This window comes from Homo sapiens, chromosome 8 (genome assembly GCF_000001405.40).
Source record: "Homo sapiens chromosome 8, GRCh38.p14 Primary Assembly".
NCBI classification, from domain to species: Eukaryota; Metazoa; Chordata; class Mammalia; order Primates; family Hominidae; genus Homo; species Homo sapiens.
Window position 1 is genome coordinate 131,214,032 of NC_000008.11, and position 24,825 is coordinate 131,238,856.

At 38.0% G+C, this 24,825-nt stretch overlaps 1 long non-coding RNA gene across 2 annotated transcripts in view, besides 1 other annotated feature; it reads left to right on the top strand.

Moving 5' to 3' along the window:
- LOC105375760 (uncharacterized) overlaps window positions 1–24,825 on the top strand; it is a 257,327-nt gene that overhangs the window by 174,510 nt on the left and 57,992 nt on the right. The gene's annotated exons all lie outside the window — the stretch shown is intronic.
- Window positions 4,155–5,354: an enhancer, noted in NCBI's record as "P300/CBP strongly-dependent group 1 enhancer chr8:132230433-132231632 (GRCh37/hg19 assembly coordinates)". NCBI's record gives its function as "activates an origin of replication core promoter dependent on BRD2, BRD4, P300/CBP, MED14 and CDK7 cofactors, with strong dependence on P300/CBP, by STARR-seq in HCT116 cells {active_cell/tissue: HCT116}" and the evidence as "EXISTENCE:reporter gene assay evidence [ECO:0000049][PMID:35650434]".

The following is a 24,825-nucleotide window of genomic DNA, read 5'->3' on the forward strand; positions in this document are numbered from 1 at the left end:
TGAAGACATTATTTTTTTTTACTTTCAGCTAAGTATCAAGTACTTGATTAAAACCGAGAGCAGGAAGACAGCTTCAGTGGTTTTTCCAGAGGGCCTAAATCACAGAGTTTTGGAATCTCTCAATTTAAAAGGAAATTGAAATCGCTTCAATACTCATTCAGGCTGAAACTACTTTTAGAATTTCCAAGAAGAACAATTGAAAACACAAATCTGTCTCCTAACAATGCTCTGGCTTTGGGATTCTTTCTGTCTTCTTTTCTGTTGAATGAGACAAAATTGAAGGAATAATAATACCTGACATGCCCTTATATTACATTTGTAGAGCACTCTTACAAAAATGATCTCATATGATCTTCATAAAAACCGTGTAAGCTAAGCACTATTATCTTCATTCAGCAGCAAGCAAATAGGCCAGAAATAGCAAGGCAGGCAATTCTTGATTATCTCACCTCTCTTTTTCCTTAACCTTCCCAGCTGGGTAAGGTCTGAGGATTTCTGCAAGTAGATAAAGGCCCCCTCAGATGCACAAATCAATCCCTAAAGAGGCAGAAAGAAGGTGAGGGGCTATGTAATGGGTTGAAAATCTGCTCTGTTGAACACTTTCCATGATTATGATTATCTAATCCCATCACCACTCCTGGACTTAACTATAATTGTGCCTACTTTGTAGAAAAGGACAAACAAAGCTCAGAAAGGTTAATAAATTTGTTTACGTTAGCCCAGCTGCAAAATAGTAGGACCAGATTTCATCTCTATGTGTGGCTTCCAACACACACTCCCTTTCGTCACCTCACACTGAGATGATGTTAGATTGTGGCCTCAGCCTGCAGACTGCCATGTTTTACCACTGATCAGCCTTATGACCTTGATACTGGCTTTATAATTTTGAGAAGCTGCTTCAAGTTCTCATATTTAAAATGAAGATTCTATTAGCACTTCCCTCTAAGAGTTTCTCTATAGATGATAAAAATATGACAACACATAAAGTGCCTAACCAGTTCCTATTCCCAACACACTAGGTAAGTGTCGTCTATAGTTATCAAGTATCTTATGAGTCTTATAATTAATTCCCTTCCCCAGACCCACATCTGATCTCCTGACGCAGAAACAATTTGTTTCTCTTGTGCTAGGTCACAGTTGTCAAACAGACTTGACACTAGAATCTCAGAATGAATCAACTGGGAGCCCACTTGGTTTCTAATCAGGTTTTCCTACAACTCTCATTGTATCAGCCCAATCTGAAGGCCAGAATTTACCACTGGGATTTTTTTTTTTGCTTGTCCTCCAGTCCCCCGAACCCTAGCTCATTGGATTAGAGCTCAACTAGCATCCCTTACACAGAATGATGTCCTAATGTCCTGTCCCTAGCATGCTGGCCAGTGTTCCTCTTCCTTTACGTATCCTTGGAAGAATAAGTCCTGCCCTGTGCAGCATTACTGAAGATTGACCCTGTTCTTTCCTGGCTTGCTCCTCTTCTCTGTTGGGATTTTACATCAAACATTTACTATATGTCAGGAAGTAGAAGATGTCACAGAAAAACAACTTCAATCACCCAAACATGGTTGATGTCCTTAGAGGGAGTAGCCAGACTTTAAGTAGTCAATTACACAAATAATTATTTGATTATAGTTGAGAAAATTGATTAGAGGAAAGATAGAGGATGCTTTGAAAAAATATAACCAGAAGACTCCATCTACTCCATCTACTCTGAGGGTTCAGAGAAGGATTCTTGAGGAATTGAAAACAGTAGTGATCCATGACTCTGAAGGATGTAGTTTTGCTTATTATGTATTCAGGTATAGTATGTGTATGTGTATGTGTGTATACATATGTATATATGTGTGTATATATACATATTTATATATACACACATAAATATATACATATTTATATATACACACATAAATATATACATATTTATATATACACACATAAATATATACATATTTATATATACACACATAAATATATACATATTTATATATACACACATAAATATATACATATTTATATATACACACATAAATATATACATATTTATATATACACACATAAATATATACATATTTATATATACACACATAAATATATACATATTTATATATACACACATAAATATATACATATTTATATATACACACATAAATATATACATATTTATATATACACACATAAATATATACATATTTATATATACACACATAAATATATACATATTTATATATACACACATAAATATATACATATTTATATATACACACATAAATATATACATATTTATATATACACACATAAATATATACATATTTATATATACACACAAATATATACATATTTATATATATACACACATAAATATATACATATTTATATATATACACACATATAAATATATACATATTTATATATACACATAAATATATACATATTTATATATACACATAAATATATACATATTTATATATACACATAAATATATACATATTTATATATACACATAAATATATACATATTTATATATACACACATAAATATATACATATTTATATATACACACATAAATATATACATATTTATATATACACACATAAATATATACATATTTATATATATACACATAAATATATACATATTTATATATACACATATGTGTATATATATACACACATACACACATACACACATATACACACACATGTATATATATACACATATATATGTGTATATATACACACATACACACATACACACACATATATAATTCCAATTATATACTGCTACTATGTGGTTTGAAAAGAATGGAGGAAAGAGTTAACCATTTCTCAAAGCTGTGATACATTTCTCAAAGCTGTGATACATTTTCCAATTTACACCAGTGATTTTTATAACATGCTTACAAGAAATTTTATTGAGTATACATCTGACACTTTGCTAAACACATTGCATTAATCTTATTTTCTGTTTGATTAAAGTCATGAGTAATAAGCGCACATAATTTTCAGGCACTTTTCTTGGTTCTCAATAAAGAAATGCTTTAAGACACAGTCTCTGCCTTAAAAGCGCTTACAGTGGAATCATCCTCACTGCAAATCTGAATTGTGTATCAGTCTAGGTGGGCTAGGATGTGGTGTTTTAATGTATTGGTTTCCCATACCTTCATCACAAATGCACAAAATGAGCAGCTTAAAAGTCACCTATTAGTTCATAGCTTATTAGCTCATAGACCAGAAATATTCATGAGCATTAGTTCTCTCTGTATGGTCTCACAAGGCTTAAATAGAAGTGTCTGGCAGGTGGGGCACCTGTCTGGAGTTTTTGGGAAAGAATTCGCTTCCAAGCTCATTTGAGTTGTTGGCTGATGACAACTTGCTGACTGTTTGTTTGGGGGCACTCTCTGCTCCTAGAAGCCATTCTCAGGTCTTTCCGTATGATCCCTCCCATCTCAGCAGCAAAAATCTCCCTTGCACTGAATGCCCCTCACACTTGAAAACTAATTTCTTCTGCCACCAGCCAGAGACAACTCTCTTAAAGGACTCATGCAGTTAGATTAGGCCCACCCAGGTAATCTCCTTATCAGTTATTTATAGTCTTAATTACATCTGCAAAATCCCTTTTGCAGTGTAAAGGACTGGGAGTAACACCAGGGAGAAAAGGTAATGAGACCACCTTGAATTTTTCCTACCATGTGTGACAAACAGCCCTGCAATTTCAGTGGTTGAAGAAATAGAGGCTAATTTTTCGCTTATGAACAAAGTTCATAATGGTTTGGCTCTAACCCTGTTCTTCAATGCCCTCCCTCTAAGAAGCAGACTGATGGAACAGCCACTGTCTAGAACATCACCAGATGCACAGCAGTGGGACACAGAGTGAGAAGATGGATCGCATGCCAGCCTTTAACACTCTGCCCAGAAGGAATCTATATAGCCTGATCACATTCCATTCACCAAAGAAAGTTACATGGCCAGAATTACATCCAAGAAGCCAAGGATGTACAATCCTACCATCTGTCTGGAAAAAGAGGGACCCAGAAATATTTGGGAGACACAATTAATAAGCTACATAGTTCCTCTTTTCATTGCCAAATATTTGGCTCACTTTCCATCTAGCATACAAAATATACTCACCCTTCCTTCCCTCCAAGGATGCAACCCCAGAATCCCATTTAGTTGCACATCAAATCAAACTTCAGAGTTTAGGGCTGTGCAGGAGTCTCTCCATGAAGGAGTAAGCATGATATTCTCTGTAGCAGGTCTAAAGCCACCCTTAGTGTTGTTGTCCTCATTTGCCAGAGAAGCCTCATTTGGCTTCAAAAAACTAAGTCACATGATCTAAGTCAAGCAACCAATAAATGATGTCCCTTATTGAATGTCACTTTTTGAAGTGATTTCACCTATTAAATGCCAGGATTTAAATATAGGTCTCTCTCTTCACAACAGCCTCATTCCTTTACTCCCAATTGACAGAAGAGGAAGCGATATGGGGGATGCAGCTTGCCTTCTAAGATCATTAGTCCAGGTGGGAGCCAAACACATAAAAAAAAGCCATCCCACTTTGTGGTCAAAACTGCAATAGACCTCAGCAGAGTACTGTGAGGGTGACAGGAACATCAGGGGACATCGTGCCCCACCTACAGGTTGGGGGTGAGAGAGGGTGATTGAACACATTCCTGAATAATGAGAAGTTTCCCAGGTAGGCAAGAGAAAAGAAGGAATTCCAGAAATAAGAAAGGGAATGGCATGTACAAAGAACAAGAGGAAGGAGTGGGTGGTGATCCCTGGGGAGTCTGGATTCATGTATGATGAGACACAGCTTGAAATGGGTGTTGGCTAGTAATAACTGTAAAGGGCTGTGTGTGCTTTGCTGAGGAATCTAGACTTTATCTTGTGGCAGTCCCAGAATTTAAGAAAGATACTCTCTTAATCCAGACCTTCCAAGAAAGAGATGTCAAAATTCAATTACACATGCCATCATCTAATTAGGAAGAATGCCTATGAGATAAAAATGGGGAGGGAACCATGGAAAGCAGAGAGAGTGTCACACCTAGTGGATGAAGGATGGAGAGAAGGTTGGGTGGAAGTGTTCTGGAGTTCTAAAATCAACCAAAAATGTCTCAAAGTGAGAAATTATGAAATAATAGTATAGGCATATTTAAAAATAAGTAACTATTAGAAAAAATGCAAAGAAAGTTCAAGAAATTAAAAGTGCTTAACTATGTGGAGCTGGATGGGGGTGGAAAGTGTGGGGCAGTGAGTTCTTGCTCACTACTACCCATGGTGTGTGTGTATGTATAATTAAAAACTGTGTTCTTTTTCTAACCTGCAAAGAAGAGGATGGATTTGAGGTGTTTTGTACATGAGGCAGCCTCTGCATGAGACACCTAGCCATTTCTCCTTGGGCCATTTTCCATTTCCCAGAGCTGCTTGGGGCTTTATGAACTATGTAAAAGAACCTGTTTGATGGAAACTTTCCGGCCGTGCCTATTAACCAGTGACCTTTCTTCTCGATGAATCCTCACCTGTTTCAGCCTCTGTGCTGTTTGGGGAAGAAGAGAAAACACCTGAAGTGGCTTTCAAAGGAAGGATGATAAACCTGTACTAAAACTGGCACTAGGGGAGAGTGCGTGGGCCTCGACAATGTGTACTGAAGTGAATGAGCTGGTCCCCTGAGAGATAAATAAGGGGGTTTTTAGGAGAATTGACAGTGGGAAAAAAAAATATCTTAAGGAGCAAAAAGTAGCTACACAAAAGAGAATGGAAATAGATTATCTGATAAAACAAATGGCCAGAACAGGTTAAGGGAGAGCCCAGAGCTGCAGCACTGTTCCAAGATAAAATTATTACCAGACATGCTATATAGACCCAGACCTCTCTCTCATCTTCATATGTGTGCACGCGCACACACACACACACACACACACACACACACACACATTGTCTGTTTGCATGTGGTGCTGTAGTCATTGCTTCTGGCCATGTCACATTACTTCTTGAATGCTCCATATCCTTGAAATAAAGACCTAGATCTCTGCCTAGGCATCTAAGGCTCTCCTATCCATCCGTTCTCAAGCCAAAGCATCAGTGCTTCATGGTCCTTCCATTTTTCTTCAATTAAAATGTGCCTTCTTCTCTAGTTTTATATGTCATTGCCCCTGCTGGCCTCTCAGATACAGGTTGTGTGCAAGTTGTCCTGTCCCTATCAGAGCACTTTTTTTTTTTTTGCACTGCATTAAAATAAAAAATTATTTGCTTGTATCCCTAAGGTCTTACCTTTAGTACCTTGAGGACAGGGACTTTATCTAGGTTCCCATTTACTCTTGGAGCCAAACATAGGACCTGGCACTTTCCAAGTTAATATTTCTTTAATGAATAGTTAGACTTAAGAATAGAGGCTCAGCTGAGTGCCAAAGGAAGGAATAAGATAAAATTTTTCCTCGTAATCTTCCTTGGGTTTTGATTTTTCCTAACTAATGTTACTTTCTCATTCCAAGATTTATTCACTTTCATTCTGCTTATTAGAGAAAACAGAAACAAAAACAGTGAGAAGCAGATGTTATATTTTCATGTGTCAATGATCTGCATCATATAATTCATCTGAAGAATTGATCTTCTCCCTTCTTCATTCTTTCAAGAACCTCTCACAAGGTTCTTGTTAAGAGGGAAATGCAAGAAAACAAAATGTGTTGATCATGTTTTCCAGAAATTGTGTGGGATATTTCCAGCACATTTTATCCCATTAAGTCTATGTTAACTCACAGGTTGGTGTTTTTATTCCTATTTTAAAGTTGAGGAAATGAAGGTGCAGACAGATGCAATCTTTTGCCCAGAGTCACAGAGCTAGCAAGTGTCAGAGCTGAGATAGAGCTCGTGCAACAGTGACTTGAAACTGGTACCCACTTTCCATCACCCAGGTGCCTCTCAAACACATTTCCTTGAAGAAGATCTTTGCAGTTCTCTTTTAAAATCTCCCTACTGTACAGTTCAGGTCCAGTGAAGGGAAGTGATTTGCTTAATGTAGTTATTTTTAACGTGCCCTTTGCGTTTTCATAGCCCTTTCCTCACCTTACTCAGGAATAGACTGATTATGCTTTTAATAGCTAAACCAGTAGATCAGAGAACTATAGAAAACAAATATATGTGGGCAACCCTTAGATAAATGGTCCAATGAAATGTGCTTATTTTGAATGCAGAACTTTGGTGTCAGGCAGGGTCAAGTTCAAATTTGAGTCCAGCCACTTGTTAGCTTTGGGAGGAAGAAGCTAACCTCAATAAGTATAGTTTTCTACTAAGGTTATTATAAGGATTAATTCAGGTGAGGTATGTAAAATGCTTGTCTAGGGCTTGGTATGTACGTCATCTAAGAGTGTTGTTATCTTTATAATTAAGCTTGTCAAGTGCAGAAGTTTGTAAAGTGTCATTGATAGTAAATACCATGGAGAACAGATCTTACTCCCTGTCCCTTACCTCCCACTGTATAAATGTGATACAGCCATAATAAGTCTCCGTGTCCCTTTCTAGTACCCTGAGTGTGTTAGGCTTTATAATTCTTAATTTCTCAGTATTTCCAAAATGCCAGTCTTTTCAAAATTGTGCTTTGGAAAAAGAATTTTTTTCTGTTTTTATATGCCACCAACTTCCTTCCATGTGGCTTTAATGTTTTTCACTCATGAAATCTGGAACATAAGGGAGTGTTGCTGTGGAGAAAATCATGACATCATTAATAACAAAAATGCTTTGAGGTCACACACATGGCTGAGACATTGACTTTAAGAGCTCTAAGTTGCTAGCAGTACTTGCAATTTCAGGAAGGAGAGCTATGGTCTTAAAGGAGAGTATGCTTGTGGAAATAGATTTCCTGCAATAGTGAGAATAAAGTAAGAAAAAAAGCTCATAAGCTTTGTAGTCAGGAATACCAGTTTTCAAATCCTGAGACCATAATTTGTAAACATGACTTTGAAAAAGACTGGTATGTCCTCTCATCTCAGATTTTTTAGTCATAAAAGAAGGATTTCAATCCCTGCTTTGCAATATTGTCATGATTCTTAAATGTCAGTTAAATACCCTGTGTCTCTCAGGTTGAGACTGTTCATAAATAATAACTCTTTTTACTTGGAGTTATAGTGCTTTGTATTTGGACCCAAACCCGTTACTTGGTAGCTCTGTGATCAAGCTAATTAACCACTTTGTACCTGAGTATCTTGCATGTAAATAAAAATTAATATTCAGTTTAATATGTCTACATTATGGATCTCCCATGAATATCAAATTAATTAACTTATAAATAGTGTCTGGGATGGAGTGATTCAATAAATGTCTTTCTCTCCCTTTCCTCCGTTTTCTTTTACTTTTTAAATTCTCCTTTCTCTACCCCTTGTCCTTCCCTCTTTACCCAGGGATAGCTATTAACGTGCCAGGATATTGTCCTCTTATATAGGGATGCCTAGTTGCAATAATGCAGCTCTCTCCTATTCCTTAGTTTCCAGAACCAGGCTGCCCAGAAGCCTGTCTTTTCTCCCCCCTTTCCATGAGCAAAGGTTATGCAACCAGTAAAGAAAGCTGACGACAAGCCACCAGTTGTCTCCATGTCCTGTTCTTCTCTCTGTGAAGAAACCTTGAGGTTTAGGTTCAGGCTTCCACTGTCACCAATGTATTTTCATGGGGTTTCAGGCTGGCTGACACCATTTTTTTATTTTTATTTTTTTTAAGACGGAGTCTCGCTGTCTCACCCAGGCTTGAGTGCAGTGGCGCGATCTCAGCTCACTGCAAGCTCCACCTCCCGGGTTCACGCCATTCTCCTGCCTCAGCCTCCAGAGTAGCTGGGACCACAGGCACCCGCCACCGCGCCCGGCTAATTTTTTTTGTATTTTCAGTAGAGACGGGGTTTCACCGTGTTAGCCAGGATGGCCTCAATCTCCTGATCTTGTGATCCACCCGCCTCGGCCTCCCAAAGTGCTGGAATTACAGGCGTGAGCCATGCTGACACCATTCTTATGTGCATGCACAATAGACAAAGACATCATCTCTCCTGGCTCTGAATAGAACTTACCAACCACCCATCTACTCTAACACTGTAGCCCAATTAAATCACAAATAAATGCTGCTAAATGATGGTGTAATTTGACTATATTCTTATGGCTCATACATTTACTCAGACATTACATAACCTCCCTAAACCTCAGTGACCTTGTCTCTGCAACAAAGATTGCTGTAAGGTTTAAACAAAATGCAACATGCAGGTGCCTATATGTGCCTGATATATTCTTTTAATATTTTAGGAATCAAACAAACCTAATGTTGAGTACCAGGGTTTTACACACACATGCACACACACATTTTAATAACATGTATATATATAAACAAACACACATATATGCATTTTTGCCCCACCATAGTACTAACACATTCTCCATGTACTCCCCATTCCTATTCCCTCACGTTTCTTTGCTCCTTTTTACACTTACTAATTGCATAACTTTACATGAGTTGCTTAACTCTTCTGAGCTTTAGTTATCCACATATAAAATGATGATAATACTTCACAGGGCTATAGTAAGGATTAAGTAACTAATATATGTAAAGTATCTGCCTAATATCAGAAGCTTAATAAATGCTAATTGCCTTCCTTTCTCATTCTTTCAGCCTAAGAAATGCCTGCTGCAACCTTTATGGTAAATGAAACAACAGAGACCCTCCAATAGTATAAAAAAGCACTCAGATTATTTTAGACAGAGTATCAAAAGCTTTCTATACAATTTTCTTCCAAACTAAAGGTGAACTATCTTCTTCCCAGGCCCAAATGCTGCATAAATGATCCCTTTACTAGTTGACAATACCATTTGAAATAGTTGTATCAGTAGAATGCCTCCACGTTCTTTGGGCACATGCTGAGGGCAGTGGCTCCCAGGAGGTAAACTGAGCTCTCCAAAACTTCCAGCAGGAAAATATTACAGTGATTTTTATGATAAGGGAACCATTACTCACATCTGAGTAAGTTTACAGTACTAATTTTCTTCAAAAAATAAGCAAAAAGGCATAAGAATTCTATCACAATCTTCAAAGTATTGCTATTTAAAAATTTATAATTTTAACATTAATTAAATGGATAGACTTTATTTTTCACCATTAACATAAACTGATAGTTTCCATTTATTCTAAAAATAATATGACTTAGACTCCATCAGTTCTGTGGAATTTTCCATAATTGAAAACTGATAATTTTAGTTTTAAAATTGGATGATATGTTCAAAGGAAGATAATTGGTTAGAAGACATAATATTCATTCACCACTGAATTATTGAGTGACTTCCAGTGCTTTTTGGGTAAATATTTAATAATCAGCGCTTTTATTTTACCTTGGAGAGGTAGATTTGTAGCGTTTATCAATTTCTGTGGGGTGAAAATACTCCCACCATGCCTAATTCCAAGCTAATTGTTTGTAACAACTGATTTGTAAAACTCCCGAACTGCTTCCAGCACAGTGTTGGCTTTATATGAAGTCCTCTGATAAGTATTGGGCAATAGATATAGAGTAAGCACTACATTCATTCAAAATGTTAAAAAGTTGGTCGGGCGCGGTGGCTCACACCTGTAATCCCAGCACTTTGGGAGGCCGAGGCGGGTGGATCATGAGGTCAGGAGATCGAGACCATCCTGGCTAACAAGGTGAAACCCCGTCTCTACTAAAAATACAAAAAATTAGCCGGGCGCGGTGGCGGGCGCCTGTAGTCCCAGCTACTCGGGAGGCTGAGGCAGGAGAATGGCGTGAACCCGGGAAGCGGAGCTTGCAGTGAGCCGAGATTGCGCCACTGCAGTCCGCAGTCCGGCCTGGGCGACAGAGCGAGACTCCGTCTCAAAAAAAAAAAAAAAGTTTACTGAGCTGTCCTAAAGAATGCAAAAAGCACTGAACTTGAAATGGATTATTAAAAAGTCAAAAATAACAGATGCTTATGAGGTTGTGGAGAAAAAGCAACATTTATACACTGATGGTGGGAATGTAAACTAGTTCAGCCATTGTGGAAAACAGTGTGGCAATTCTTCAAAGACCTAAAGACAGAAATACCATTTGACCTAGCAATCCCATTACTGGGATACAAATCATTCTGTTATAAAATCACTTGCATGCATATGTTCACGATAGCAAAGACATGGAATCAACCTAAATGACTATCAATGGCAGACTAGATAAATAAAATGTGGTACATATACACCATGGAATACTATGCAGCCATAAAAAGAATGAGATCATGTCCTTTGCAGGTACATGGATGGAGCTGGAGGCCATTATCCTCAGCAAACTAATGTGGGAACAGAAAACCAAATACCACATGTTCTCACTTATAACTGGGAGCTAAATTATGAGAACACATGAACACATAGAGGGGAACAACACACACTAGGGCTTGTAAGAGGGTGGAGGCTGGGAGGAAGGAGAGGATCAGGAAAAATAACTAATGTGTCCTAGGCTTAATACCTGGGTGACAAAATAATATGTACAACAAACCCCCATGACACAGGTTTACCTGTGTAACAAACCTGCACTTGTACCTCCAAACTTAAAAAGAGAGAGAAAACTCGATTTGGATTCTGGTATTTTCCCTATGTAGCAGTAATATTAACAGAAAAATATATAATGTTCCTAAGTGTTAACATTTTTAGGTATTGTAAAAATAATGTCGGGATGATTAAATGAGAATATATTGTGTGAAGCTGTAACCCAAGAGAAAGAGTACGACATGTTTCAATAGTAATACCCCTAATAAGCTGTAAGATGTTTGATTTTGGGACGCAGGAAGTAGCCTTTCATTGAACAATTGAAGGATCTCACATGGGGAGCAACTTTTCCCATCAAAAGGAAATATCTATACACCAATCTCCACAACCGCAGATTTAGAGAGAAGAAACCGCGGACAGGCCACATATTTAGAATCGAGTACCGGATTAAAGGCAATAATAACAACACAATAGCAGTTAATAATTATCTGGTGCTTATTGCATATATGGAAATTGTTTTACTCCAGTTACCTCATATAATCCTCAGACAATCCATCTAAATGTCAATTAACAGTTCCATTAAAAAGTTGATTTCCATTTTGATACATTTTCTAGATTCAATGAATTTTCAATAAAGAAGTGAAACTTGATTTCAACAATGTTTTTCAGAAGCTAAAGCTTTTGCCAGAAGGAGAAAGATCACCCCACTCCTAATCTGCATTTCAACATCTCAGCAAATAATTGGAATGCATTAATACTTTAGAAGTAACTTCTCAAAGGAATTTTTACTTCATTTCTAAAATATCAGGTTTTTTTTAGAATAAAATCTGTATGTTTCTAATTTCTTCCATTTGACTTATGAAAGTTCTGAGACTCTGTTTAAAGGAATGGATGCCCCAAATACCTGGCAAATAGCTCTTGCTACTGACTATAGTTTTATGATTTAAAGCATTCATATTTTATGTATTTTAAACTAAATGTCATTTAATTAGCATCTTGTCTAATCCTTTCCTTATTCAAATCATCCTTTATTCAGCTCCCAGATTTATAGTCCAAAAGCTCTAGCTCTTATCTTGTCAACTCCATCTTTAAAAATGTTAACTCCTACAGTCTATAAATAAATTATAAAAACTATCAGGCATTGTATTAGTCTGTTCTCATGCTGCTAATAAAGACATACCCAAAACTGAGTAATTTATAAAGGAAGGAAGATTAATTGACTCACAGTTCCACATGGCTGGGGAGGCCTCACCATTATGGCAGAAGGCAAGGAGGAGACAAGCCACGTTTTACATGTAAGCAGGCAAGAGGGCATGTGCAGGGGACTCCTCTTTATAAAACCATCAGATCTCGTGAGATTTATTCACTATCAGCATGAGAAAACCCTGCCCGCATGATTCAATTACCTCCCACTGGGTCCCTCCCACGACATGTGGGGATTACTACAATTCAAGGTGCGATTTGGGTGTGGACACAGAGCCAAAACATATCAGGCATAAATAGTCCCTCACATTCAGGCCCTAGTTTCCCTTTCCAACTTTGTTTTCCCCAATATGCACAGAGAGGTGCATGCACCCACACATATGTATACACCCATATCTACACACATATACATACATAAATACATGCAAATGTAAACATAAACACATACACATGCACTTTTGCCCCACTGTACCATGCATCTCCTTCTCCTTTTTCTCCCCATTCTTATTCTCCCATATTTCTTTGCTCATTGCATCCCTTATTCCAGGAATCCCCTTATACTTCACATTGACACACACACACACACGCACACATAAATATGTAAGATACATATCTTACATATTAATTAAAATCCAGCTCCAGGGTAATCTCTTCAAAGAAGCCTATCTTGAACTTCTCTTTACCACACACACACACATGCTACAATTCTCTCTCATTTCTGAGCTACATTCACATTTTTCTGGGGTTACAATTGAGCTCAGATTATTTGTCATTTGCATTCATTAGTTACATTATGTGGCCAATATCAATTCTAAGTATTCTTCAAGAGACTATTACATTGCAATTCAACTTTTCATTCACAGAATACCTTGCAGAATTATTGGGAATATATATATATATATGTCATTCATTGCTTAATCACGGGGATACAATCTAAGGAATGTGTTGGGAGGCAATTTCATCATTGTGCAAATATCATAGAGTGTACTTACACAAATCTAGGTGATATAGCTGACTCTACACCTAGGTATATGGGATAGCCTGTTGCTCCTAGGCTACAAACCTGTACAGCATGTTACTGTACTGAATACTGTAGGCAATTGTAACACAATAGTATTTGTGTATCCAAACATATCTAAACACAGAAAAGGCATAGTAAAAATACAGTATTATAATCTTATGGAAGCACCATTGTATATATCGTTCATTATTGACTGAAACGTTATGTAACACATGACTGTAAACATACAAACACACACGCACACATACACATACACAAATGCCTAACTGTGTATGTATTTATTGAACACAAGCTTTCCAAAAGCTGTCAACTAGCCATTTTTTAAAATCACATTTTCTCTCCCTCTCAAGGTCGAGAACTTTTTTGAAATCTTGTAAGAAAGTTTACTCACTTTTTAAATTTATTTTTAAATTGATATATCAAAGTTGTATGTATTTTGGGGGTATGTGCGATTTTTTTTTTTTTTTTTCTGAGACAGAGTCTTGCTCTGTCACCCAGGCTGGAGTGCAGTGGCGCAATCTTGGCTCACTGCAAGCTCCGCCTCCTGGGTCACACCATTCTCCTGCCTCAGCCTCCTGAGTAGCTGGGACTACAGGCACCCGCCAACACGCCGGCTAATTTTTTTGTATTTTTAAGTAGAGACGGGGTTTCACCGTGTTAGCCAGGATGGTCTCGATCTTCTGACCTTGTGATCCACCCGCCTCGGCCCCCCAAAGTGCAGGGATTACAGGCGTGAGCCCCCGCTCCCGGCCTGTGTGATGTTTTGATACATGTATACAATCTGTATTGATCAAATCAAGGTAACTGGGATATCCATCACCTCAAACATTTATCTTTGTTTTGTGCTCGGAACATTATGATTCTCTGTTTTAGTTATTTTGAAATACACAATAAATTATTCTTAACTATAATTTTTATGGTACTATTGAATACTAGAATTTATTATTTCTGACTGTATTTTTGTATCCCTTCATTTTGTACAAAAAAATCACCGCTGATACCTTGTATTGAGTGTCAGGATATGTACTGAGCTAAGCACTTTGCATAAATCATTAAAACAAGAATAAGAATTGCCAACCTTGTTATATCTTTTTCCTACTTCAGCAGCACTTGCCTAGGTTCTCACATTTAATTATTGCAAACATTAAATGAAGTAAATATAATTATTATCCTCATATTCTAGATAAATAAGCTAATCATTGGAGAATTTAAATAGTTTGTTCCAAATCACAAAGACTATAACTGGCAGAGCTGAAATTCAAACTCCTCTTTGTCTGACTCCACCAGATAGCTAACAAGTTTTACTGCTTTCCACCTTAGTAAGAGTAATTTATGGCTAAAAACACTGCTAGCATTTTTCAAACCTGGACTATCTTATTTTATCTAATTTTATTTCTTATCCTTTCTGTGTTTTGCAAGATCGATAAGCCAGGCAATGGAATTCCCAGCCAGTTTATGGAAATAACTTGGCCCATAAAGTTGAGGTGAGGCAAGCTGAACAGTGGACAAGCAGGGAAAAGACCTTTCTTTGTCACAACTTTGCTAGTAACAGCTCTGTGAAGCCACTGGAGATGACGGAGAAGTCACCGAAGATGAAGCTTTATTTTCTCTCCATTCACAGATCTCTTAGCCTTGAGTCTTCATTTCCTCCACTAAATAAGACTCAGCAGCATTAATAACAACTCTGACACCCTCGAGGCATGTGCCATGTTCCAAGCAACATCAGATATATTTGGCATCGATTATCTCATTTAATTCTGCCAACAACTCTATTATGTTGATGCAAGCAATGCCTCCCCATTTTATAGACAGGAAAATCACGGTTCAAAGGGATGCTGAAATGTGCCTGAGCCTCACATTTGGTGAGTTACAGAGTCAGGAAGTTTTGCTTCCTGAAATTGTAACCTATATACCAAACCAATTGCAGGAAGATTGTGAAGATCTAAATAGTAATAATAATAATAATAATAATAATAATAATAATAATAATAATGATGAAAGTAGCTACAAACTCTAAAATATTTTGTAAAATTTTAGGCACTTCATGAATGTTTAGTAGTCCATTTCAATGTTTAGTGGATTCTTATTACTGAAGGCAACTGGGTAGAGGGAAAGTCAGGAACGAGCACTGACCCCTGTTCTGCAGGCTCTAGAATCAAACACTTATTAATTAGAATATTGGCTCAGCCATTTGCTGCCTGTGTCGCTATGGGTAAGTCACATAAATGCACTGAGCTTCAACTTCCTCATCAGCATAATGGGGACTATGAAGACTATGATGCTTCCCTCTCTGGTAGGAGGATTAAGTAAAACAATGGGGTAAAAGTGCCTGAAACAAAGGCTTGATAAGTGGGTTTACTTTTTTCTGTGCTCTATTGCACCATGTAAATGGGTTCCAGAGGTGTGATTAGAAATGAATCCAAATTAGAACAAACAGTCATGGGAGAAACCAGGAGAAGGGAGATGAAAATGTTTCCTGACATGTAGCTGAAGTCAAAGGGGATAGATTTTTTAGCCTAAGAAGTAAAAAGGGACAATAAGCCTATGCTAATAAGAAAATATTTCATGCTGGATTTCCCAGGAAATAAATGTTACATAGTTTTAATTGCCTATTTTTTAGTGGCTGTGATCTCTGGACCCTTACCATGGAGGCTGAACTTAAAACCACCAATCTGAGTTATAAAATAACATGAATTAGTTAGGAAAATTGAGATTAATAGTGACCTTTTAGAAGAAAAGTTTTATTAAAAGCATATATTTTCCTCCAGTAATGTATATTTCATTTTTCTTACCTTTAATTGTATTAATGTATAATATATACATTATATAATATAATGTATATATTACGTACATTATATAATGTATATATTACGTACATTATATAATATAATGTATATATTACGTACATTATATAATGTATATATTACGTACATTATATAATATAATGTATATATTACGTACATTATATTATATAATGTATATATTACGTACATTATATTATATAATGTATATATTACGTACATTATATTACATAATGTATATATTACGTACATTATATTACATAATGTATATATTACGTACATTATATAATATAATGTACATATTACGTACATTATATTATATAATGTATATATTATGTACATTATATTATATAATGTATATATTATGTACATTATATAATATAATGTATATATTATATAATGTATATATTATATACATTATGTAATATAATGTATATATTATATACATTATGTAATATAATGTATATAATATATACATTATGTAATATAATGTATATAATATATACATTATAATGTATATTATACATTAATACAATAATGTATATTTCATTTTTCTTACGTTTAAAGGTAAATTTTCTTACCTTTAATTTTTTGTACCTCTAATTTTTATAGTTACTTAATGAGTGCCACATTAATCAGGATAAGGTAGGTTGTACTGAAGTTATCAAATAAACCTTGAAATGTCAGTGGTATAAGTGAACATATGTTTATTTCCTGCATATACCCATATCCAGTGCATATTTATGGGGGGAGGCTTCACTCCACAGAGTCACTCAAGGACCCAGCATCATGGAGGCTCCGCTATCTCGACATATGACTTGTCAATTCACTGTCACAAGAAAGAAAAAGATGGAAGAATTGTGTGGTGTTTTACAATGGCTCAACCAGGAAGAAATACACATCATTTCTCACATTTCATGGTCAAAAAATAGCTGCATAGCCCCACTTAGCTACAAAAGGCTGGGAGGACTCATATTCCATTCGTCAAGGAAGGAGGGATATACAACAAGACTTGGTGAGCACGTAGCATAGTCCATGTGCCAATTAACAATTGCATTACTTTTTAATTTTAATTTTATTATTATTATACTTTAAGTTTTAGGGTACATGTGCACAATGTGCAGGTTTGTTACATATGTATACATGTGCCATGTTGGTGTGCTGCACCCATTAACTCATCATTTAGCATTAGGTATATCTCCTAATGCTATCCCTCCCCACTCCCCCCACCCCACAACAGTCCCTGGAGTGTGATGTTCCCCTTCCTGTTTCCATGTGTTCTTATTTTTCAGTTCCCACCTATGAGTGAGAACATGCGGTGTTTGGTTTTTTGTCCTTGCCATAGTTTGCTGAGAATGATAGTTTCCAGTTTCATCCATGTCCCCACAAAGGACATGAACTCATCCTTTTTTATGGCTGCATAGTATTCCATGGTGTATATGTGCCACATTTTCTTAATCCAGTCTATCATTGTTGGACATTTGGGTTGGTTCCAAGTCTTTGCTATTGTGAATAGTGCCGCAATAAACATACGTGTGCATGTGTCTTTATAGCAACATGATTTATAATCCTTTGGGTATATACCCAGTAATGGGATGGCTGGGTCAAATGGTATTTCTAGTTCTAGATCCCTGAGGAATCGACACACTGACTTCCACAATGGTTGAACTAGTTTACAGTCCCACCAACAGTGTAAAAGTGTTCCTATTTCTCCACATCCTCTCCAGCACCTGTTGTTTCCTGACTTTTTAATGATCGCCATTCTAACTGGTGTGAGATGGGATCTCATTGTGGTTTTGATTTGCATTTCTCTGATGGCCAGTGATGGTGAGCATTTTTTCATGTGTTTTTTGGCTGCATAAATGTCTTCTTTTGAGAAGTGTCTGTTCATATCCTTTGCCCACTTTTTGATGGGGTTGTTTTTTTCTTGTAAATTTGTTTGAGTTCATTGTAGATTCTGGATATTAGCCCTTTGTCTGATGAGTAGGTTGCGAAAATTTTCTCCCATTTTGTAGGTTGCCTGTTCACTCTGATGGTAGTTTCTTTTGCTGTGCAGAAGCTCTTTAGTTTAATTAGATCCCATTTGTCAAATTTGGCTTTTGTTGCCATTGCTTTTGGTGTTTTAGACATGAAGTCCTTGCCCATGCCTATGTCCTGAATGGTATTGCCTAGGTTTTCTTCTAGGGTTTTTATGGTTTTAGGTCTAACATGTAAGTGTTTAATCCATCTTGAATTAATTTTTGTATATGGTGTAAGGAAGGGATCCAGTTTCAGCTTTCTACATATGGCTAGCCAGTTTTCCCAGCACCATTTATTAAATAGGGAATCATTTCCCCATTGCTTGTTTTTCTCAGGTTTGTCAAAGATCAGATGGTTGTAGATATGCGGCATTATTTCTGAGGGCTCTGTTCTGTTCCATTGATCTATATCTCTGTTTTAGTACCAGTAGCATGCTGTTTTGGTTACTGTAGCCTTGTACTATAGTTTGAAGTCAGGTAGCGTGATGCCTCCAGCTTTGTTCTTTTGGCTTAGGATTGACTTGGCGATACAGGCTCTTTTTTGGTTCCATATGAACTTTAAAGTAGTTTTTTCCAATTCTGTGAAGAAAGTCATTGGTAGCTTGATGGGGATGGCATTGAATCTATAAACAACCTTGGGCAGTATGGCCATTTTCACAATATTGATTCTTCCTACCCATGAGCATGGAATGTTCTTCCATTTGTTTGTATCTTCTTTTATTTCATTGAGCAGTGGTTTGTAGTTCTCCTTGAAGAGGTCCTTCACATCCCTTGTAAGTTGGATTCCTAGGTATTTTATTCTCTTTGAAGCAATTGTGAATGGGAGTTCACTCATGATTTGGCTCTCTGTTTGTCTATTATTGGTGTATAAAAATGTTTGTGATTTTTGCACATTGATTTTGTATCCTGAGACTTTGCTGAAGTTGCTTATCAGCTTGAGATTTTGGGCTGAGACAATGGGGTTTTCTAGATATACAATCATGTCATCTGCAAACAGGGACAATTTGACTTCCTCTTTTCCTAATTGAATACCCTTTACTTCCATTCTCCTGCCTGATTGCCCTGGCCAGAACTTCCAACACTATGTTGAATAGGAGTGGTGAGAGAGGGCATCCCTGTCTTGTGCCAGTTTTCAAAGGGAATGCTTCCAGTATTTGCCCATTCAGTATGATATTGGCTGTGGGTTTGTCATATATAGCTCTTATTATTTTGAGATACATCCCATCAATACCTAATTTATTGGGAGTTTTTAGCATGAAGTGTTGTTGAATTTTGTCAAAGGCCTTTTCTGCATCTATTGAGATAATCATTTGGTTTTTGTCTTTGGTTCTGTTTATATGCTGGATTACATTTATTGATTTGCGTATCTTGAACCAGGCTTGCATCCCAGGGATGAAGCCCTCTTGATCATGGTGGATAAGCTTTTTGATGTGCTGCTGGATTCGGTTTGCCAGTATTTTATTGAGGATTTTTGCATCAATGTTCAGCAAGAATATTGGTCTAAAATTCTCTTTTTTGGTTGTGTCTCTGCCAGTCTTTGGTATCAGGATGATGCTGGCCTCATAAAATGAGTTAGGGAGATTCCCTCTTTTTCTATTGATTGGAATAGTTTCAGAAGGAATGGTACCAGTTTCTCCTTGTACCTCTGGTAGAATTCGGTTGTGAATCCATCTGGTCCTGGACTTTTTTTGGTTGGTAAGCTATTGATTATTGCCACAATTTCAGACCCTGTTATTGGTCTGTTCAGAGATTCAACTTCTTCCTGGTTTAGTCTTGTGAGGATGTATGTGTCGAGGAAATTATCCATTTCTTCTAGATTTTCTAGTTTATTTGCATAGAGGTGTTTGTAGTATTCTCTGATGGTACTTTGTATTTCTGTGGGATCAGTGGTGATATCCCCTTTGTCATTTTTTAGTGCGTCTATTTGATTCTTCTCTCTTTTCTTCTTTATTAGTCTTTCTAGTGGTCTATCAATTTTGTTGATCCTTTCAAACCACCAGCTCCTGGATTCATTAATTTTTTGAAGGGTTTTTTATGTCTCTATTTCCTTCAGTTCTGCTCTGATTTTAGTTATTTCTTGCCTTCTGCTAGCTTTTGAATGTGTTTGCTCTTGCTTTTCTAGTTCTTTCAATTGTGATTTTAGGGTGTCAATTTTGAATCTTTCCTTCTTTCTCTTGTGGGCATTATTGCTATAAATTTCCCTCTACCCAATGCTTTGAATGTGTCCCAGAGATTCTGGTTTGTTGTGTCTTTGTTCTTGTTCATTTCAAAGAACATCTTTTTTTCTGCCTTCATTTCGTTATGTACCGTGTAGTCATTCAGGAGCAGGTTGTTCAGTTCCATGTAGTTGAGTGGTTTTGAGTGAGTTTCTTAATCCTGAGTTCTAGTTTGATTGCACTGTGGTCTGAGAGACAGTTTGTTATAATTTCTGTTCTTTTACATTTGCTGAGGAGTGCTTTACTTCCAACTATGTGGTCAATTTTGGAATAGGTATGGTGTGGTGCTGAAAAAAATGTATATTCTGTTGATTTGGGGTGGAGAGTTCTGTAGATGTCTATTAGGTCCGCTTGGTGCAGAGCTGAGTTCAATTCCTGGGTATGCTTGTTAACTTTCTGTCTCATTGATCTATCTAATGTTGACAGTGGGGTGTTAAAATCTCCCATTATTATTGGGTGGGAGTCTAAGTCTCTTTGTAGGTCACTCAGGACTTGCTTTATGAATCTGGGTGCTCCTGTATTGGGTGCATATATATTTAGGATAGTTAGCTCTTCCTGTTGAATTGATCCCTTTACCATTATGTAATGGCCTTCTTTGTCTCTTTTGATCTTTGTTGGTTTAAAGTCTGTTTTATCAGAGACTAGGACTGCAACCCCTGCCTTTTTTTGTTTTCCATTTGCTTGGTAGATCTTCCTCCATCCCTTTATTTTGAGCCTATGTGTGCCTCTGCATGTGAGATGGGTTTCCTGAATACAGCACACTGATGGGTCTTGACCCTTTATCCAATTTGCCAGTCTGTGTCTTTTAATTGGAGCATTTAGCCCATTTACATTTAAAGTTAATTTTGTTATGTGTGAAATTGGTCCTGTCATTATGATGTTAGCTGGTTATTTTGCTCATTTGTTGATGCAGTTTCTTCCTAGCCTTGGTGGTCTTTACATTTTGGCATGTTTTTGCAGTGGCTGGTACCAGTTTTTCCTTTCCATGTTTAGTGCTTCCTTCAGGAGCTCTTTTAGGGCAGGCCTGGTGGTGACAAAATCTCTCAGCATTTGCTTGTCTGTAAAGTATTTTATTTCTCCTTCACTTATGAAGCTTAGTTTGGCTGGATATGAAATTCTGGGTTGAAAATTCTTTTCTTTAAGAATGTTGAATATTGACCCCCACTCTCTTCTGGCTTGTAGAGTTTCTGCCGAGAGATCCGCTGTTAGTCTGATGGGCTTCCCTTTGTGGGTAACCCGACCTTTCTCTCTGGCTGCCCTTAACATTTGTTCCTGCATTTCAACTTTGGTGAGTCTGACAATTTTGTGTCTTGGAGTTTCTCTTCTCGAGGAGTATCTTTGTGATGTTCTCTGTATTTCCTGAATCTGAATGTTGGCCTGCCTTGCTAGATTGGGGAAGTTCTCCTGGATAATATCCTGCAGAGTGTTTTCCAACTTGGTTCCATTCTCCCCGTCACTTTCAGGTACACCAGTCAGATGTAGATTTGGTCTTTTCACATAGTCCCATATTTCTTGGAGGCTTTGTTCGTTTCTTGTTATTCTTTTTTCTGTAAACTTCTCTTCTCACTTCATTTCGTTCGTTTCATCTTCCATCACTTATGCCCTTTCTTCCAGTTGATCGCGTCGGCTCCTGAGGCTTCTGCATTCTTCACGTAGTTCTCAAGCCTTGGCTTTCAGCTCCATCAGCTCCTTTACGGACTTCTCCGCATTGTTTATTGTAGTTATCCATTCGTCCAATTTTTTTTCAAAGTTTTTAACTTCTTTGCCATTGGCTTGAATTTCCTCCTGTAGCTCAGAGTAGTTTGATCATCTGAAGCCTTCTTCTCTCAACTCATCAAAGTCATTCTCTGTCCAGCTTTGTTCCATTGCTGGTGAGGAGCTGCGTTCCTTTGGAGGAGGAGAGGCGCTCTGCTTTTTAGAGTTTCCAGTTTTTCTGCTCTGTTTTTTCCCCATCTTTGTGGTTTTATCTACTTTTGGTCTTTGATGATGGTGACGTACAGAAGGGTTTTTGGTGTGGATGTCCTTTCTGTTTGTTAGTTTTCCTTCTAACAGATAGGACCCTCAGCTGCAGGTCTGTTGGAGTTTGCTAGAGGTCCACTCCAGACCCTGTTTGCCTGGGTATCAGCAGCGGTGGCTGCACAACAGCGGTGTGCTTGTAGACCACTGTAGAACAGCAGATCTTGGTGAACCGCAAATGCTGCTGCCTGATCCTTCCTCTGGAAGTTTTGTCTCAGAGGAGTACCTGGCTGTGTGAGGTGTCAGTCTGCCCCTACTGGGGGGTGCCTCCCAGTTAGGCTGCTTGGGGGTCAGGTACCCACTTGAGGAGGCAGTCTGCCTGTTCTCATACCTCCAGCTGTGTGCTGGGAGAACCACTGCCCTCTTCAAAGCTGTCACACAGGGACATTTAAGGCTGCAGAGGTTACTGCTGCTGTCTTTCTGTTTGTCTGTGCCCTGCCCCCAGAGGTGGAGCCCACAGAGGCAGGCAGGCCTCCATGAGCTGTGGTGGGCTCCACCCAGTTCGAGCTTCCTGGCTGCTTTGTTTACCTAATCAAGCCTGGGTAATGGCAGGCACCCCTCCCCCAGCCTCACTGCCACTTTGCAGTTTGATCTCAGACTGCTGTGTTAGCAATCAGCGAGACTCCGTGGGCCTAGTACTCTCTGAGCCATGTGCAGGATATAATCTCCTGGTGTGCCTTTTTTTTAAGCCCATTGGAAAAGCGCAGTATTAGGGTGGGAGTGACCCGATTTTCCAGGTGCTGTCTATCACCCCTTTCTTTGACTAGGAAAGGGAACTCCCTGACCCCTTGTGCTTCCCGAGGGAGGCAATGCCTCACCCTGCTTTGGCTTGCGCATGGTGCGCTGCACCCACTGTCCTGCACCCACTGTCTGGCACTCCCTAGTGAGATGAACCCGGTACCTCAGATGGAAATGCAGAAATCACCCGTCTTCTGCGTCGCTCACGCTGGGAGCTGTAGACCGGAGCTGTTCCTATTCGGCCATCTTGGCTCCCACCAATTGTATTCTTATATGAATGATTGAAATGATTACATTTTCACTTTCACAGGTTGTAAGCTTTGTGACTCTGGAGACCACTGATTCCCTAGTGCTTAAAAAAGGCCCATTGTAGAACTGGTGCTTAGGATAGAGCTGTCAAATTCTAACACTGAATATGTACATCATTAATTTGCTCCATGGATGAACATGTATAGACCAGCATCTGAGCTCAGCAGCAGTGTTAAACACTGGGGAACAGGATTAAAGACATGAAAATGAGCATGTGATACAGTGAGTGTGTGCTGACATGTATTTAGCCTGCTCAATAACAAATCAAGCCACTGGAGGTGTCAGTAGGACACTGAGGTGGAGATATTCATTAAACACATTGAGCTCTTAGGAAAGAGATTCGGAGAAAACCAAGACCATAGTTACTTTTCTACTTAGAAGTAAACTCCAAAGAAGGGCTATTTTAAACATTGAAACTGCATGATGTTGTTTAAGATGTAGAAAGACTGTATTAGAAGAGAAGAAAACAAAAAGGCACTGTGTTTGTTAGGCACAGTCTAGGCCTTAAATCACTGAATTGTCCCACCAGCCCTGATTGTGTTAATATTCCCATTTCATAACTATAGGAGCTGAGGTCCAGAGAGGTAAGAAACTGGGCCAAAAATCGCACAGTTTACCCATATTTAAGCTCAGATCTTTACATGTCAGAGTCTAGCCTACATTTTCATATCCAACACAGTCTAATGGGATAGGACTGTACAGTGAGTTCATTTTCACCAGAGAAGTTCAAGCAGAGAATCTTCTTAGGGATACTGCAGAGCTCTGGAGGCAGTGAATTGGTCTTTTTACATTAGATACTCTTCAAAATACCTTGAGTATCCAGTGCCTCACAGAATTGAGTCTCAAGGATTCCTACATTCAGGAGGTGGGAGGAACGAAAGTGTCAGTGATGAAGAAACCACTTTTCCCAGAGAGGCCTGTCTCAGACTCCACCGCTATTCTGCCTTTTGTCTGCTGCCTGCAGCACTTGAGCCTGGGAAGAGCCCAAAGAAAGGAGCCCTAGAGAAACGTAATTGG